Source organism: Homo sapiens, chromosome 16, assembly GCF_000001405.40.
Source record: "Homo sapiens chromosome 16, GRCh38.p14 Primary Assembly".
Classification (NCBI taxonomy): domain Eukaryota; kingdom Metazoa; phylum Chordata; class Mammalia; order Primates; family Hominidae; genus Homo; species Homo sapiens.
The window spans coordinates 68435185-68454564 of record NC_000016.10 but is presented as its reverse complement, the minus strand read 5'-3'; the positions used below and the strand labels follow the sequence as shown (position 1 = coordinate 68454564).

The following is a 19380-nucleotide window of genomic DNA, read 5'->3' as shown; positions in this document are numbered from 1 at the left end:
AGAGACAGAGGCTGCAGTGAGCTAAGATTGTACCACTGCACTCCAGCCTGGGTGACAGAGCAAGACCCCATCTGAAAAAAAAAAAAAAGAAAGAAAGAAAAGAAAATGTATGAGAAAGCTCATTGCCTCACTTCCTCCTCACCCCACCTATCTTGGGCAAGAGGGCTTCTTCTTAGCACCCACTATCTTGGGTTGTGTGACTCTCATGTCAGAGGGCTCTGTACTCCATCTCTCCACCTTGCCATCATCAAACATGCCACTCACTGTACATTGGCATGGAGCTACCAGGGTTCCTGTCTCCTTCAAACTGGCCATCTTTCCAGAAGACTTGCCAATAACCCATATAACAAACTGGCCTTTCAATCTCATGATCTTCTCTGTCCACCCCAGCCACCCTGCCCCCTCATTCCTGCCCACAGCTCCTCCAACTCTGACCAGCATTGCTTGCCCTCCCTGCTCTTCCCTGCCACCCACAGCATCTGTCCTTTCACTCCGCCAAGAACCTCACTACCCCCATCTGCCCTCTCCATCCAGGCTCACCTTCCTCTTGGTGGACCACCATTTCCACCTCTCTTGTCAGTATCTCCAAATCCCTTCCTTTCTTGTTTCCCTTGTCCAGCAAACCCCAGCCTGGACCAGCCTCACCAAGGCTATCTCAGGGCCAACAAGATGCTGGAGAAAGCCCATAACTGCATGGATTAGTGCTTCCACACCCATGGTCTCGAACTTCAGCAGGCCCCACCACTACCCTACAGCCTCTGTGGATTGCCATTAGCTTTCCCTCCTGTTTTCCACAGCAGCCATCTTGAATCTTTTCTTCTTTCTCCAAGTTTCCCACCCCACCACACCTCCTCACACTGAGCACGTATCCTTGCTTCCAGCATCAGAGAAGTAATGGCCATGGAATATGAACTCCCTCAATTTCCAGAGCCCACCTCTCAACTACCTACCTACATGTTTATTATTGTTAAATGTCCTAATTGCTCCCAACTCAAAACAAAATTGTTCCTCAACCTATATTCCTTCTGGTTTTCTCTCTCCTCCCCTTCCAAAGCAATCCATTCCCCACAGTTGTCTACACGTACTCCCACTCACGGAGACTTCTGTCCTTGCTACTCCCCTGCACCCACTCTCTCCAAGGTCACCAGTGACCTTTTTGTTGCTAAATTTTGTATTTGTTTTTTCAGATCTTGGCTTATCTGAAGGTACTTCACCCCACTTCCTCCCTGTGGCTTCTGTGGCACCCCACCCTATGATTTTCTTCCAATCTCTCTGACTGGTCTCACCTTTTCCTCTGGGTTCCTCTTTCTCTACTTGCCCCCTAAATGATGGTATTTCCCAAGGAATTTTGTTCATTTCTTTGACCCTCTCTACTGAAGGATCCATTCATTCCCATGGCTTCAATTATGATCTATATGGTGATAATTTGATAATTTATGACTCTATCCCTTAACCAGATCCCTCTCATAAGCTCCGAACCACCTCCTAGACATCTTGTTTGGACATATCACACCCAATTCAAACTTACCTACTTCTCTTCCTGCCTAAACTTGCTCCTTTACTGTGTCACATCTCAGGGGATAGCACCCCCATCCATCCCCTAGTTACCCAAGGCAGACACCTAAGCATCATCTTTGACTTTTACTAGTTTCCTCCACGCCCTCAGCTCTCATTCACAAAGTCCTCGGAATATTTACCTTCTTAATAACTCTGTGATGAGCTACTTAAAAAAGATGGGAAACTTGATGAACTATTAATATTTAAAGAACAAACAAATAAATAAATATAAAACTATCTCTCAGATCTACCCCCTCTTTTCCACTCACCATGCTGGATCACCGCAGCACCTTCCCGATCCACATCCCAGCCTCATCTTCTCCTGGCCATTCTCCAAGCAGCCCCTAGACCTTTTCAAAATGCACATCTCCCTAAAAACCTTCATTAGCTTTAGAATAAAATTATATTCTCAGCCTAGAATACCAAGCTCTTCAGGACCCAGCCCTGGTCAATCACTCTAACCCCTCAGTGTCTGAGATTCAGCATTCTAGTTAATCTCCTCTTTACTTACTGAGAAGACCCATGGAACTTCACTGAGATCTTTTCTTCCCCAAGAAGAAGGGAGAAGGCCAGCACTGTGTTCCCCTGGAATCTTTCACTACTCTAGCTTCGAAGTATTTAGAATTCCATTCATTCCTTTAGGGTTCTGTGCCCTAAAACCACCCCTTAAAAATGACAAAACAAATATATTGAGCATTTTCTCATATGAGTCAGGCCTTTTATCACATTTAACCCTCACAATTCTGAAGAACACATTTTAATTTCACAAATGAGAAAACTGAGACCCAGAACAATTAAATATTAAATAACCTAATCAAAGTCATACAATTAGTAAGAGAGAGAAAGGGGATTCAAACTCAGATTACCCAAGAAATTATCTCCTGTTTATTCATGGTCAAACCAATTTCTGGTAATCCAAGAAGAATAATGTGAAAACAGACTAACATTTGGTAAGTGCTTAATATTTATAAAGTACTTTACATAAGGAATCTCATTTATCCCTTATGACATTTTCAAATAAACAGACTGCAAATCCAAGGAGGTAGTTTAGGCAAGGTCACACAGCTAGTAAGTAGCTTTGAATTTCCCTACCTCCACCCTTAAAAAAAATTTCTTTTTTTTTAGAGACAGGTCTTGCTCTGTCACTCAGGCTACTAGAATGCAGTGGTGTGATTGATCATAGTTCACTGCAGCCTCAAACTCCTGGGCTCAAGCAACCCTCCCACCCCAACCTCCTGAGTAGCTGGGACTACAGGCATGCGCCACTGCACTGAGTTATTTTTTTTTTTTTTAATTTTTAGTACAGGCAGAGTCTCACTATGTAGCCCAAGCTGGTCTCAAATCCCTGGCCTCCAGCAATCCTCCTGCCTTGGCCTGTCAAACTGCTGAGATTACATGTGTGAGCCACTACACCCAGCCCCACCTCCAGCCTTATTAGCTGCTACCTAACACCAATAAACAGCATTTTACAACTGAAAAAACAGCTCCAGCCCAGGATCACACATCTAATCAGAGGCAAAGTCAGGATTAGGATCCAGGTTTCCTAACTCTACTTGGCTGTGCAGATGCTGTTATAGTCTCTGGGTGCTGCCAGAATTGTGGAACCCTGACTTTTTCCTATTTATAACAATTTGCCAAAACTGAAATTGGATTCCAGTGGTAGATGGATGGTGGTACACTACTTCTGAAGGGGTAAACGGACCTCCACAGGGTTTCAGCTCTGGCTTCAGGTGGACTTATTTGGTATCCCTCTGCAATACTCGGGTGATACTCTGCTGATGCCCACCTGGTGGCATGGTCCTCCCTGATCCACTTTTCCAACAGCCTCTGCTCTCACTGCATCCACTGAATGAGGCACTCTGCTTTAGCACACGTCCCATTTCCCCCTGCCTCCTTACCGTTTTCTCTTCAGTAATAAGACCCCATCTGTTCACCCAGCTCCAATTGCCTTCCCTGATGGTTTAGCCAGGATCAAAGCCCCTCTGCCATGCCTCTTAAAGTCCTGTTGGTTCTTCCCTAAATGCCATCTGTTTTACTCACTCCCCCACCCTAGCCTTCCCTTCCTGGATGTTACTAACTCAAGGATGACAGAGCTGCTTTCTCTCAGGCTCTGTCTCTTTGGTTTGAATTAGGTCCAGAGTAAAAGTCCCCTTGGTTATTTCCTTCTTGGCCATGAGTTAATTATTCCCATATATTAAGGCATTCTCCCCAGAGTGTATCAGCTGACATACACAAAAAAACATCTGGAGAAGGTGATAAAATGAAATGTGTAGATTAACTAGGCCATCTAGCCAACATCAGAATGTTTAGTGGAGAAATATTCAGGAAAGATGCTACCTAGCAAGGTGGGACATCACCAATGAGGCCTAAGATGCTGAGCAGAGGGTTGAAAGAAGAGCAGGAGGCCGGGCACAGTGGCTCACACCTGTAATGCCAGCACTTGGGGAGACCAAGGTGGGCCTAGGTGGCAGAGGCTGCAGTGAGCTGAGATCGCGCCATTGCACTCCAGCCATTGCACTCCAGGCAACAAGAGCGAAACTCCGTCGAAAAAAAAAAAAAAGAGAGAGAAAGAAAGAAAGAAAAAAGAAAGAGCAGGAATCTTAGGACATCTTTACTTCATAACTGACAGGGCAGAAGATCTTTCTCAGAAAAGGAGTGGGAGGTAGGGCATTTAGGCACAGAAACGAGTAGGGCCAACAGCTAGAAATAGCGGAACATGAAGAACTGATGACATTTCAGGGAGAACTGACAGGAATAATAGGCATGGGTCTATCAATCTCTAGCATCATAGGATTAAAAGGGTACTCAAAGCATTCAGGTAAAATCCCAACCCACTGTACAAATGAAATAAACATTTCTTCAAGGGGGCGGCATGCCTCTAACTGAACACCTCCAGCAATGAGAAATGCCCAACTTTAGGAAATCAGAGTTTTGGAGGTGTATGTGAATGAGGTTCCTTTATTTTCTTTTTTTTAATTTTATTCTTTTTCTCTTTTTTTTTTTTTTTTTTTGAGACAGGGTCTCACTCTGTTGTCCAGGCTGGAGTGTAGTGGTGCAATCTCGACTCACTGCAACCTCCACCTCCCGGGGTTCAAGCGATTCTCCCGCCTCAGCCTCCTGAATAGCTGGGATTACAGGCACGTGCCACCACGCCCAGCTAATTTTTGTATTTTTAGTAGAGACTGGGTTTCACCATTTTGGTCAGACTTGTCTCGAACTCCTGACCTAGTGATCCACCTGCCTCGGCCTCCCAAAGTTCTGGGATTACAGGCGTGAGCCACCACGCCCGGCCCAATTCATTTTCAATTCAACAAATATCTATATTTATATCTCAATAGCTAGTGAGTGCCTACTACGTGCCAGATACTAGACACTGGACTGTAAGTATGAATAATATAGACATGGCCCCTCCCCTGTGGATCTTATAATGAGGAAGACGAGCACATAAACATGCAAGTAGAACAGGGGAAGTAGAGGGTGCTGCTCAAACACAGGGTGGGGCACTCAACAGACAGCCCAGCATCTAGATGTCTTCACAAAACAGGCAATGTCTAGGCTGGGGCTTGCCGACGAGTTAGCTGAGGGCAGGGTGGAGAGGCCCAAGGGAGTAGGAGGCTTCCCAGCTTCCAAAGAAGTTAAGAGTGTTGCAAAAAAGTGGAGTCCAGATCTTGAAGGGGAGAGTGGGCTTAGGTCCGGGGGCATGTGAAGCGCCCTCCGTCTGCTGCGCTGGGGGAGATGCTGCGGTATCCTGGAGTGGTGTGAAGGAGGCCAGGACCTGCGATGGGAAGACGGAGACGGGAAGGCCCTGGTGGCCCAAGGGATGACCAAAAGTGAAGCGCTCCTCTATGACAAGATTGAGACAAAAATAAAGGAATAAAGTTCTGAATGCGGTGGGAGAGTCTCCTCCGTCCTCCCTCACCTTTGCTGGGCAGGAACCAAACCTGCTTGCCCTCGGTTTGCCCCATCACCGACGGGTGTGGTCGGGGGCACAGCTCTTCGCCCTTCTTCTCAGATAGGAAAACTGAGGCCCAGGGTCCTGAGGCAGAAATCAAGGTTTTCTCCTCGAAATGGCCTCCCAAGAGGCTGCCCGGGGTCTCACACGATCCTTCGAGGGTCCTGCGGCCTGCCCCACGCCTCCGCCAGCCATCCTCGGCTGGTCGTCTTTGCTATGGAAACGGTCCTCCCGCCCTGCTCCGCGCCTCCGTGTCTTCAGTGCACTCTGGGAAATGCAGTCCCGCTCTGTTTGCCTACCCGCGGCGTGAGCCCACTCCGCGTCCTTAAAGAACTATAAGTCCCAGAAGGCTGTGCGAAACTCCGCCGGTCTCTGGGGGATGTGGTCTTGAAGGAGAGACCCAGGAACCTGCGGGCGGGGCCGGAGGGAGAGGGGAGGACGCCCCCAATGGGCAGACTCCTGGGCGGGGTCCGGGTCACCATTGGCTCCGGCGGCGCGAGGGAGGCGGGGTCAGAGGAATGAAGCGCGGAGCTGTTCGCCGCTCCAGGTGCTGAGTCTGAGGGAGGCTCCGGACCCGAGAGCCGCGAGAGCCGCCGCCGCTGCGGCCGCCGCCAGATCTGCGGCCGGGAGCCCGGGCTGTGAGGAGCCGGGAGGAGCGGGGTGCGCTGCCGGGCGCTGACCGCCCTCCCGCCCGCCGTCAGAGGTCAGTGCTGCTGAATTCGCTTTTGTTTTCTTGGGGAGCGGGCGAACCGAGGCGTGAGGGGCTGGGGAGTTGACGGGACGTGTTCTCGTTGCTCTCAGGACCGCGGGTCCCGGACAGCCGCCGACTGACTAGGGGCCTCCCGTGGCCGGGCGCCGGAGGTCGGAGCAGCTTGGGTTAGTTTTCGTTTTATCATGGAGAAGGCTCTTGGGTATGAGGGGCGAGGGCTGGGGGTCACCCCCACCCCCCATCTCTCCTGGGAGAGCGAGGAGGCTTGGACCCTCCCTCCCGCTGTGCCTGGCGACGGGGCTGCTCGGATTACTCAGGACGGGAGGATGAGGTGTTGTGGGATGAAGGGACTCGAGGCAGGGGGACCCCTCCCCGCAACACTTCGGCTGCTCGAGGTTACAAAGGAGTCTGGTGGTGATGGATGAGATCGCGGACCGCTCCCCTAGCCCAGACCCTCCCAGGGGTATTCAGGAAGGGCTGCTTGGGATGCAGGGAAGACCCTTGCCCAGGCCCCTTCCTCCACACTCGCCCCCCTCCCTATTCCCCCCTCCTCCCTTGGCCCTAGGGTTTTGTAAAGAGGAGGATCGAGGATGTGGAAGAGACAGAGGACTCTTACCCCTCCCACTTGGACCCTCCTAGGTTACTGGTGAAGGGTGGAATTGGAATGTGGCAGGGAAACGCTGGGAGACCCCTCCCCATCCTTCTCGGAGTCGCGGGTGGAGGAAAGCACTGACACTCGGAATCCCCCGCGCTCGGGCCCGCGCCGAGGGTTGGGTGGCCTGGGTGTGAGAGGTAGTGTAGGGGGATGTACGAGGACAGGAGGGACCCCTCCCCACCTCTCCCCACCTGGGCCTTATCTCCCAGGCCCTCCCTACCTGGATCCAGGCCTGGGGCTCTAAGTCGAGACGACCCGCCCTAGCCCACCACGCCCCGGGGACCGAGCCTCTGGCACCGCAGCTGGGGGCCAATCCCAGATGGGCATGTACAGAGCGGGACGGGGCGGGTCTCCCCTCAAGCACTCAAGAGCTCCAGGTAGACGCTACCCCCAACCTCGTGCCCGCGAATCTTTGGGGGCTGCTCCGCTCCGATGCAGGGCGCACCCCAAACCGAGGCTCGGGGACCTGCTTCCAGGACGCGCGGTGGCTGTTCCAAGGCATGGGGCTTTCGCGCTCGGCCCAGGCATCCTCGAGAGGACAAAGCGGCGGTCGCCGCACTGGCAGGCCTGCGCCGCGGGCTGGGCGGGGGGCGCGGCCGCGGAGGGGGGGCTTCGGGCGCGGCGCGGGCAGCTTCCACGGAAACGTGCCAGGAGCGGGGCGGGAGACAAAGCGCACCGGCTTCTAGCGGGCCCGCGCGAGCCGGGATGGAAAATCCCGAGGGAGGAGGCGGCTGAGCCAGGGCAGGGCACTATGCCCCCACATCTTTCCCTTTTCCCATACCCCCTACCCTAAGGCCAGCCAGGCACCCAGGATTCTGTGCACGCGATGGTGACCAGGGCCCCTTCGGGGGCCGAGAGTGGGGGTGTTCAGGACCTGTGACCACTAGGACAGGGACAGGTGGGGGCTCCACCTTGAGCAAGGGGCCTGGAGTTCACAGGGCGTGAGTGGGCCAGGGTCCAGAGGGACATCCTGACTGGACCCTCCCACGCCCCATCAGCCATGTTAGGTCAAATTTGGTTCTGGGGAGGGGATGTGTTTAAGTGTGTGAGGGTTTGCATGGATGATGGTGTGGGTCAGAGTGTGGGTGTGAATGTGTGTGACTAGATGAATGTACCCATGTGTGTTTCAGTCTTCATGTGTGTGGCACGGCCAGAGCTTGCGCTTCGGGCTGTGTGTGTGTGTGTGTGTGTGTGTGTGTGTGTGTGTAGATGAACCACTTACTCATTTACTGATGGGCTTGGATGTTGTGGGGGTGGGGAGCAGGGTAGTCACATCTTTAACTCTCAAGCCACAGCAATGACCTAGGGTCCGAGTGGATGCCCTCAGGGTGAAGGTAGCTTCAGGTTGCTTTGTGCCTAGCCTGCCTGGCCTGCGAAAGGCCCAGTAAGTGGGGAATTCACAACTATGTGGAGCCTTCTTCAGCCCTTCTGAGGTCTCAGGTCTGACCCTGACATACTCACCAGTGCCCTGCCCTTCCCATTTTATCAGAAGCTTTATCCTACTGTAATAGGCTGCTCCAAAGACCAGAATTCTGCCCCCTCACCACCACCATGTGTTTCCAAGTGAGGCTTGGCAGGGGACTCATCAACAGAGTCACTTATGATGTGGGTGCAGGACTACGTTGCAAGGCAACTTTTGTCACTTTGGCCTCCATGTCTGGAAGGGCATGGCGCTGACGTTGCTGGTCAGTCACAGGCAGTGTCTCAGAAATACTAGGTGTCTCAGAAATACTGTTTCCTCAGAGAGGAAACAAGGGTAACACAGACATACACTACAAGGTGATACCCCTAGAGGATAAGCATGCCCCTCCCAGACCTGCCCTCCCCAATAAGTGACCCTGATTTCACAGCACTTGCATAGCAAAGGTACTGTGCAGCTTTGAGATAATCTTCACAGAGATCTACTTCCCATAGGATGAGAGACCAGATGATGGCCAGGAGAACAACAGAAAGAGCAAGTACTACACAATGTAGCCACCATCTATCTAGCCCAGGCTGCCTGATCCAGTTCCCACAAGTATCCACTCCCAGTGTCCACAGCGACCTCTGCTGGAAAGAGGTTAAACCAGTCACAATTTGGCAACTAACACTCCCCCATGGTGTAGAGGCTCAGAGTGAGTGTGAGCATTGTCAGGTAAAATCACAAATCTTTCTATTGGGGGGCTCCCTCCTACCTTCAGAGTGTTGAGTTGATGTTCTTGTCTGAAGTTCTTTCAAGCTAGTTCAAGCCATGGAATTGCTGCTGTCTTCACCTCTATGGAAATGTTTAAAGAGGGCTTGAAGGTCTTTGTTCAAGTTTCTGACCAGTGGAAGGTGGGCATCAAACCCATTTATAAGGACAATGCATGGAAAACACTTATCAAGGCCAAAGAGATTTAGGCATCTCCTGTCTCTACCTCTACCTCTACTACTCTTTTCTCCTCTTTCCCTGTTCCACATTTATCCTCTTCTTTCTGTCATTATTAAATTAGTCAATAACATTTTTCAAAGGCAAGCCCTCTTTTCCTCAAAAACAATGTAGCCCAGAAAATGAAGGCTTCTGGAGGCTATTACCAAATGCAAAAAGCTGCAAATACGGCTTTCCAGGCCTAATGACAGAAGTGGGGGAGAGAGATAAGACATGCTCAGTCCTAAATACCCATCTGGTGACATGTGTCTCTTCTCCTGGAGTTACTCTGAAGGAATTTCTTGCAGTCACAAAATCCTAAGAGCTCTGCAGCTCTGCAAAGGAAAGAAGGTATTTTAATACCTGGTATTGTTCTTACTTTGGCATCCATGTGATTTGCATTGAACTATGTGACTCAGTATCATAAAGTAAAAATAGGACTTAATCTCTTCCTTGCCTGTTTGGAAGGTGACTGCATATGGTGTGTTGTATTCTGCATTGGAGAGTGAAAAGCTAAATTGCCTCATAAATTGAACCACCTGCTTATCCTGATTAGAATGGTGCTTAACATCACCTACAGGCAATAACGTTATTTTATGTTTCTTTTAATTTATACCTGTATCTTTGTCTTGTAAAACATTTCCTCATGCTCATACATTATTACTTTCACTTGAAGTTAATCAAGAATGTTTAATCCTTGTACTGAAGCCAAACAAATTAAATATCAGCAGATTCAGGAAGATGTGGGTGGTGTTTCTGTTCTTTTTGGGCTCAAAAAAAATTCTTGGAGTTCATAGAAAAGAAGGAAAAGGCCCTAAGATTTGGTAAATCTTGTGAGCAGTTCTGAGAGGCTCCTTAGAAATTTCCAGAAGGGCTGGTCATGTTGAAGAATCTGAACACGCATGCAAGTGGCAGCATGCATGCTGGAAATGAGACTGCAGCCCTGGTATTCCTAAATCACTGCACTAATGCAGCTTTTCTCGGAAAATTTCCCAAGACCCTCCTGCTCCCTGGGGCAGCCAGCTGGATCACTGTGGAGGAGAGCTGTCCAAGGTTCTGGAGTGCTGGCCTCACCCACCTGGTGGGAAGGGAGGACTTCTGGGTGTGGACCAGAAGCAAGAGCTGAGGGCCATGGCCTCCAAGAGGATTTCCCCAAAGCTGATTACAGAATGGAATAGGAGGAAACAGAGCTGTGGTGGATATTACTGCATTACTTCGAACAAACTCATCAGCAATCCCTGTTTAAAGAATTATGAGCTAATAAGAGGAAACATTTTCTGACTCAGGCTCTTCACATGTAAGAATGTATTTAATCCTCACAGTCCTGTGAGGTAGGTGGTGGCATAATTCCCACTTTCAAGGTGAGGAAACCAAGCTTTGAGGGCTTTCCCAAGGTTACACAGAAGGGGAAGAATTTAGGTTCCATCCTGGATCTCAAACTCTGGAAGTTCCTCCTTACCACTGTTTTTTCCCTATTGCTATTACAGAAATAAAACTGAACTATTGGATTATTCTATGTAAGTTTATAATCAAATGCCAGAGGAATAGGATTGCGGACCCACTAGGATTTAGACACAAATCAGTCTTTCCAAGTTCAGCAAGGATAGTGCCACCTACTTTATATCTTATCCAGCTTTGTTAACTGAACTTGGTTACCAAAGAATGGGGAAAGGGTAGTATAATGACCTTCATGACCAGTAGCCCAGGGGTTTCTTTCCACTGTGGAAAATTTTCACAGGAAGCCAAGCGTAGATGGCAACAAAGTGTTGTCATTGTTTTTCGTTTTTAAGAAAGGAAGGAAAAAAAACATGAGGAAGCTGTTATTTGACAAAGAGTACACATACAGCCAAAGAAATAGAGCTTATCTTTATTTCCTAGCAGCCTATTCCAAAGCTGAAGACACTCAGATATTGTTAAGAGATTCCTTCCACCTATTTGCACTCTCAGATTTTCATAGCAAAGCCTCTAACACCTAAATAAAATTTTCACTGTGTGGGCCTCAGCCAATCTCAGGAAAGCATCACATTCCTGTCCTTATGCCACCCAACCAAAGCTCTACCTCCATATGTGGCTGCAAGACTCCAGAAGGTGGGCAGGTTTGGGGTTTGGTGAATTTCAGACCACAAGTCTTGTCCTCCTAAAGTGGCAGTTCCAACTGCTCCAATCTTGCAACACACACAGGGGCCGGTTTCTGAGAACTCCCCATTCGATTTGGATGTCTAAAGAGGGTAGAAAGGAATGAACTTATGTTTTTTCTCCTCTCCCTGGGCCTCAGTCTGTACAACACTCAGATAAGGGGTTAGACTTTTAAGAAAAATTCTTCATATCAAGCTGAGTCTCCATTCCATTTTGAGTGATTCCTTCCCCTTCCAAGCTGGGGCTTCGCAGAGCTCTGATGAAAGGAGCAAAGGCTGCTACTGCTTTTCCCGAGGGCGCTTGGAAGCCAAGGACCCGGCACCCCATCTGGGTCTGCTCTGACTCATATGACTGCAGACAGATTTGATTGTTTTCTTATTTAGAGTCATTAATTAACTCTCCTCAGCATCAGAACAGCGTGTAATAAGAAGGAGGCCATTTGTGGGGGTCTCTAGGCAGCCACACCTAGGGCTGAGTACCACCTCCTTTGCACACAGGATCAGGAAATGGTTTCTAATCCTGGCTATAACCCTTTAGAAAGCTTAGATTGTTAAGATTTTAGGCCAATATGAGAAAGTGCAATTAATTGCTAAGGCTGTTGTGATCATTCTGGCAAGAACTGGGAGGCCCAGGAGTCCCTCAAAGGAGGACTGGATTTCCATTCATTCAACAGACATTTCTTGTGCCTACAAAAATGTGTCAGCCACAGCGCTGGGCACGGGGAACACAACCACAATGTGGGATAAGTCCTTTCTTATAGAAATCTTGAACGGAACAAGGAAACAGACACAGAAACCCTGAAATAATGTGTGCTGTAAGCAGAAAGAGCTTTAGAAATGGAAAGGATATTAATAATCATAAACCATCATGTCTTTTTAACATGAGGAAAGACAGCGAGGGAAGTTGAGGGCTGCTCTGGCCACAGCCCTGGTTAGTGGTTCTAAGATGGGGCTTAGAACCCAGATTTTTTAATGCCTAAAGCATGTTCTTTCCACTGTCCTAAACTGTTGCTCTGTTCATTTAATTACCCAAAGGATACATTTCCGTTAACATAGGCTTCTTTGATCCAATACCAATGCAAAACCCAAATTTTAAGTTGAAATAGCCCAGGCACGGTTGCTCATGCCTATAATCCCAACACTTTGGGAGGCTGAGGCAGGAGGCTTGCTTGAGGCCAAGAGTTCAAGACTAGCCTGGGTAACATAGTGAGACCCCGTCTCTATAAAAAATAAAAACATTAGCTAGGCATGGTGGTGAATGCCTGTAGTCCCAACTACTTGGGAGGCTGAGATGGGAGGATTGCTCGAGCCCAAGAGTTCAAGGCTGCAATGAGCTATGATTGTACCACCACACCCTAGCCTGGGCAACAGAGCAAGATTCTAAAATTTTTTTTAATTTAAAAAATTTTTAAAATAAAGTTGAAATAGAAACAAATAATAGAAAAAAATAGGAAAAGTAGAATGTCTGTCTATATATCTGTTGTCTAATATGGGGCCATAAGCACTTGAAATATGTCTAGTGGCAATTAAGATGTGCTATAAGTATAAAACATACACTAGCTTTTGAAAAATTAGTATAAAAAATGTAAAATGTTGCATTAGTAATGGTAATATTGATTACAGGTTAAAATAATATTTTAGATATATTAAGTAAAATATATTTAAATTAATTTCACTTGTTTCTTTTTACTTTTATAATGTGGCCACTAGAAAATTTATATTGTATATGTGGCTTGCATTTATAACTCACATTATATTTCTACTGGGCAGTGTTGTTCTAGACTGTTTCCATTTAGGAGGATATTTTCTTTATAAACTGAGGCATTTAGCAAAGTAGGTCTGTAATCAATTAGCCTGGGATTTGAATCCTGGCTCTGCTATTTGGGCTGCATAAACTTGAGCAAGTTGTGCCTTAGTTTCCTCACCTGCAGAATGAGGTGATAATAAAGCCTACCTCCTAGGTTTTGAGCTAAATCACTTAGAACAGTGACTGACAGGTCCAGAGTGAGTGTTCACTTAATATTAACTATTGTTATTACTATTGGAGGAAGCTTATGAAGTGTTACAAGATAAGGGCAACAGGAAGGAGAGCAAGCAGACAATTTTCAGATAAATCAAGCAAAAGATTTATTACTAGTTAAAACATGATTGAAAACACTTGCTAAGTATGCGGCCCCTATTTTCTGGCAGATAATGATGTCGAGGAAAGATTTCAATCCATTTACATAAGCATACAATGAATAAACAAATTAGCTAACTGCATTGTGCACAGGTCTTGACTTCAGCTAATGAGTTGAGGAAGAGGATGATTGTACCAGATGACTCAAGAGCTCTAAGTCTCTTGGACTCCCAGATTCCTCAGGGGAATCAGGGGAATGACAACCTTGTGCTCTGGGAGAAAAATTCTGGACAGGAATCAGACATACCCAAGGTCAAAGCTACTCTGCCACTTATTGGCCTTTGACAAGACACTGAGTCTCAGTTTTCTGTTCTGTAAAATGGAGATAGTACCAACTCTGTTGCAGGTTGTAGTGAGGATTAAATTAGATAATACAAATAAAACATCAGGTACATAGTAGGCACTCAACAAATGACAGCTGTGACTAAATGGGATTTCAGGTATTCTTTAATAGAGAACTTTTTGTTATTTAATATAGAATTTGCAGTTCAGGCCAAGCGCAGTGGCTCACGCCTATAATCCCAGCACTTTGAGAGGTCGAGGCGAGTGGATTTATTTAGTCCAGGAGTTCAAGACCAGCCTGGGCAACATGGTGAAACCCCATCTCTACTAAAAATACAAAATATTTGCCAGGCATGGTGGTGTGCACCTGTAGTCCCAGCTACTCAGGAGGAGGCTGAGGTGGGAGGATCACCTGAGCATGGGAGGTAGAGGCTGCAGTGAGCCAACATTGCACCACTGTACTCCAGCTTGGGCTACTGGAATGAGACCGTCTCAAAAAAACAATGAAAAAAAGAAAGAGAATTTGCTGTTCAGAATCTTCAGTGCCTTTTCTACAACTCTACTGCGTCATTCCCCATCCTTATTCAGTGCCTGAGGAGATTGAAAGGACAGTTTCACCTGATTAAGTGTGTCTACACCAAAACGTAGGATATCAGTAACTTTGGGCACACTCTACACAATCTTTCATGTTCTTCTCTGTCCAATTAACACACATGAGGCTCTTTCCTGGGATAATGAGGCAAGTAGCAAAATGGGCATTGTTCTCCATCATGTTTACCCTGAAGTTCTGACCTCGGTGTTTACAGCACTTTACAAGTAGCTTTGCTTTTAAAAAGAGAGAACGTAAATCTGGAAACCAGAGCCCAGAGCCATTTCTCCTGACTCCTAGGGCAGGCCATGGGTCCATTCACTGCATAGCTCTGAGGGAACACATATTGTTGCTGTTCTCAACCATCACCTTTTTTTCCAAAAGTTTGCCTTCTGGAGGAAGACAGCCAAAGAAATATGTATTAAGCTCAGTGAAGGCTTATGTTAACAGAGCACGTTGAACTGTAAAGAAAATACTCAGATTAGTCCTACAGGAAAAGTGAGGATCACTTCAAATGTTTTAGCAGGAGAGCAACACAGATTTCCTGACTCAAAGCATAGCGGGTGAATTGAGGTGGAAGGAGGCTCACCTCTGGTTCTGTTGGGAGGCCCCTGACTTTCAGGTACCAAGTACCAGTGCTAAGTTATTTGGGGATAGTCTGGTGTTAATATGCACATTTTCCTACTCATTCTTTCTTTTGTTAATTCAACAAATGCCAAATGATGGATAGCTAGAGTGGGGTGTTTTGAGAACCCTTCCCCAGGAGGAGACCAGGGTCTGGCTGGGGAGAGGAGAGATGCTCATATGCAGAGTGAACCAAGGAACGGGGGCTGGAGTAACCACAGGAGTCCTGATTAAGGCAAGTTGGCTATGGCAGTGGAAAAGCTATGGATGCCAACCAAACTTGAGTCTGAATCACATTTTTACCATCAAATGTGTGGCCTTGGGCAAGTGCTTTAACCTTTCCAGACTTCATCTTTCTCCTCTGGGGCAATAAAACTAACTTTTCCCGCCATGGCAATTACATGGCAACATATATGAAAATGCTTAGAGACAATACTAACCCTCGTTCAAGTGTTTACAGTGGGTCAGGCATTGTGCTCAGCAATACATATGTGTAAAAGAATACCATTATTATCCTTACTTTACGGCTGAGGAAAGCAATGCTCAGGGACTTTAAGTAACTTGCTTAAGGTCACGCAGACAGTAAGAGGACCAGGACCCCAACCCAGGCAATCTGACTGCAGAGCCTGTTCTTAACCACTGAGATCACTGCTTCTCTGGTTCAAGATCAGCAAGAACCCAGTAACTATTATTTTGAAGGAGGGAGGGTGATTTGTGGGTCAACTTGTGGAGAAGTCTTATGCTTGGTCTTCAAGCATGGGTACAATATGGATAATCTCTGAGGGGTGAGTGGGATGGGGAAGGAAGGCAAGGGAAAGTTGTGATCAAATGAACAGGGGTAGGAATGACAATGGTATGTTTGGGAGCACTGAAATGGAGAAGAGTTTCCATATGAAATAGATGTTTGGAAAGAAGAGTTGAGAAAGCCTTGAATGTCAGACTAACAAGTGTTAGAGAACCAAAAAAGCTCATAGGCAAAGAAAGGGATATGAAATCTGAGGCCATCAGTTTGAGGCATCTCACTGAATCTGGGTAATTTGTTGCAGTGTTGAGTGTGCTCACCAAGTGTCTCAAAGCCAGAGCTTCTGGAGGGTATTGCCAGGTAGCACCACAGTTGAGCATTCCTACCAGTACTATTTGGTTTTCAAATAAATTACATTATTTCTCTCATTTGGTCTTCACAAAAGCCCTGGGCAGGAGAAGGGTAGCAGGTCTGCCACAAGGATTCCTGCCTGTGTCAAGTCGCAGGCAGTAATGGCTGCCATGAAGCACAGATGCCAAGAACAGCTGCAGTGCCCAAACCCAAGCACAAAGCTTAGGAGAGGCTTTCTCTGTGAGGGAGGAGGCAGAAGATTTGCTCCCTGTGCACTGGGAGGCAGGCAATAGTATCCTTTGGTTCATGATTCCCAGTGACACTCCTGAGCAGCTGCCTCCCAGGGTGGCTGCTGGGAGGGCCTGAGTTGGGGTCATTGCAAATTCCACATCCCTTTTTGGTTGCAGCACCCATCAGTCACCTGCTCCTGTGCAAACAGCTTGTTTTACAAAAGGAGATTTTTTTGGACCTGCCATCTTGAATTCATTCTGCTTATTTCTCTGTAGGCTGCAGGGGCTGAAAACCAAACCCCATCCTCCTTAGGCTGGTTAGAAGGAAAATGTCTTTTCTAATGGCTGCAGTTGCACTCTGCGCCAGATTTCTCTCCATGGCTACGCTTCTAATGACAATGGAAAACAAAGGCAGGAAAGGAGAGGGGCACAGATGCAGCACTTCTTCCAAGAGGCACCTGCAGTTCTGTGGAGGATGCAAGGCAGTGAGGAGGTAACTTTCACAGCTATGAGAGAGTCTCTTGATGAGTAAAGAGTTTTGATGTGCAAGATAATAGAGGATGAAAGAGATCACTGTGTTTTCTTTGAAAAGTCATGCTAGGATTCCAGATGCTCTCCACAGTTCTGGAAGGATGAGTGCAAGGGTGGGCAAGGCCACAACAATTTTGACAAGTTGTCCAGGGATAAGACCTTAGTGATTATAAACATATAACTAATGAGAAATGACAAACACTTGGAAATGAAATGTTAAGGGCTCATCTGGCCATTGACCCCAGTAACAATGTGTGTCAGCACATGCTGAACTCGACAGGGTTGAATGGTGACTTCTGGAAAACAAAATCAAGTTGAGAAATCAGAATGATAACAATAAAGGCACGGATGTTTGGAATGGCTGTGCATCAGAAAGTAGGGCTGTTTGGTTACATCAGAGCAACTTCATCAGCCAGGACCAAGTATTCACGCCCTGCTCACACAACTGGCTCCTACTCTGTGTTGAACCCTGTGCCAGACACTGGAGAGATGGAAGTGAATGAGATACAGTCCCTGTCCTCAGGGAGGTAGTCAATTCTAAAACAGAACAAGAGATGCAGTGTAGAAAATGTGCAAATGCACATGGCCACTTCATGACATTCCCTTCTGGGTGCTTCCTCACGCCTCTGGAATTAATGTAGCCCAACAGGTGAGGCAAGTCGGGATCTTATAAATACTGCCAACCTTATCTCACACCAGGTCTAAGCAGACCTGGTATGTGGAACCTGGGGTAGCAGAGTAGAGGCAAAGGCTGGTGTATTTCAGAAGCTCGTATACAGTCGGTGAGGATGATTTGCCTTTGTATTCCTTATTTGAAAGACAAGCTCTTGAGACCCTTTGCCTGCAATTAGAGCATGCTGCCACAAGGGGCACCATGAATTAGTGTGGTCCAAGCAGCCATGTGTCCGTCCCACAGGCATGGTATGCTGAGCAAAGTACAGTTTTTCCACTGTTAACCTTCAGAAGAATATAATTTTAAATTAATTTATTATAATGGGATTGCACATTTAATAAGGCCAAGCCATAGTGACCTATATGTAGTGAGTGGAGCGTTGTGAATTCATCAACATTCATTTAACAAAATCCATTGTGTGCCTACTACTATGTGCAAAGAAAAGCACAAAGACCCTGCTTGGTACTCAAGTCCTAGAAGGAAGACAGAGATAGATAATTACAGTGCAGTGAGATAAGATAAGTGGTAATATGGAAGGAGGAGCAGAGAGCACTGGAAGCATAATCCTACCAGGGGGAGGAGTGAATAATTCTACCAGGGGGAACACACACCACACACACACATGCACGCTCTTGTGTGTTGGGTCCAGACAGTAGCACCTGGGTCACAGGGTTTATATCAACACACATAGAAGGGGAAAAGCCAATGTATTGGAATACTTTTAGATGCTGTAAGGAATTCAGATTGTTCTATTGCATGAACTTGGATATATCACCTATGTCTCTGGACCTCAGTTTCCTAATCTGGTGCTCTGAGGGTTTGGCAGTGGCTATCTTGACTATGTGGGTGGAGCAGCATGGAGGTTAGAGTAATGACTTTGATCTCCAGTGACCAAGCCTGAGATTGTCCTTGCCCTGAGACCTCCTCGGCACTTGTTTTTTGGGACCCTGGTGATGCTACCACTTGATTCCAGCTGAAATGTTCCAAGGGATCGCAGAGGATTAGCTAAGATTCTGGTTCCAGAGGAACTTGGTGTTTGTGGGGTGCAGACTTTGGTGTAGAGTGGAAATGGTCTAGATCTCCTGAGGTGCCACTGGCTTCACCACCCTCCCCAGTAGCCAGGCTGGCCCTGCCATAGCACTGACCAGTGCACACACTGCCTGCCTCCTTCTCACCAGTGGTCTTCTGACCTGTGGCCTGTCCCTGAGGCCACTGTTGGGAAAGCTTTGTCCGAGTCAGGCAGAGGATCACTGACAGCAGGCCAGTCCCACTCCTGCCCCTCAGGCCCCCCAGAAGATGAGGCCCTTCTTGGCCTGTGTCTCCCTCTGGAGAACTTGGGCCCTGGCAGGATGTCCCTCCCACCCCAGCCAGCCCCCACCGTGCCTTTCCCAGGCCCCAGCCCTTCCTGTCTGTGGCCCTCGGCAGAACTGGCACCTCTGTGTTAGGGGATACGGGGGAGCAACCAACTTGAATAAATGAAAAAAAAAATGCCAGAGTGTTTAATTTTAAACAAACCACTTAAAGCTGCTAATTGCCCTGTAGAGAGTTTTAATATGCAATATATTAGAGCAATACCTGGTTAAGAGAGTAGACAAATGGAGGCACTGAAAAAGCCCTCACTGAAATTCCATTTACAAGTCTTTAAAAGGATTTTTTAAAACAGTTTGTATGCCCAGGAAGTTTCCCAGCTGAGACCAATAGGCCCTGACCCACCTTTCTAGGCAAAGGCCAGCTCAGGTCCCTTTCCCCCAACCTACCCTCACTCTGGTCCCTCAGCCCTAGAAC

General features: G+C 47.4%; 1 protein-coding gene and 1 long non-coding RNA gene across 7 annotated transcripts in view, besides 2 other annotated features; one reads left to right on the top strand and one right to left on the bottom strand.

Moving 5' to 3' along the window:
• Nucleotides 1–2419: 2419 nt before the first annotated feature.
• LOC124903705 (uncharacterized) lies at nt 2420–5725 on the bottom strand. The gene is made up of 2 exons (XR_007065097.1): nt 5499–5725; nt 2420–5400 (listed from the first exon to the last, which is right to left on the bottom strand). It is a non-coding gene; the product is annotated as an uncharacterized LOC124903705 (long non-coding RNA).
• Nucleotides 5690–5739: an enhancer, noted in NCBI's record as "active region_11016". NCBI's record gives its function as "activates an Ori minimal core promoter by ATAC-STARR-seq in GM12878 lymphoblastoid cells {active_cell/tissue: GM12878}" and the evidence as "EXISTENCE:reporter gene assay evidence [ECO:0000049][PMID:35858748]".
• Nucleotides 5840–6359: a silencer, noted in NCBI's record as "silent region_7646". NCBI's record gives its function as "represses an Ori minimal core promoter by ATAC-STARR-seq in GM12878 lymphoblastoid cells {active_cell/tissue: GM12878}" and the evidence as "EXISTENCE:reporter gene assay evidence [ECO:0000049][PMID:35858748]".
• Nucleotides 6057–19380, top strand: part of SMPD3 (sphingomyelin phosphodiesterase 3) — a 90182-nt gene continuing 76858 nt past the window's right edge. For all 6 annotated transcript variants that reach the window (NM_018667.4, XM_011523207.2, XM_047434339.1 and 3 more), the window contains exon 1: nt 6057–6212. The gene's annotated coding sequence lies outside the window, so the exon portion shown is untranslated. The remainder of the gene's footprint in view (nt 6213–19380) is intronic.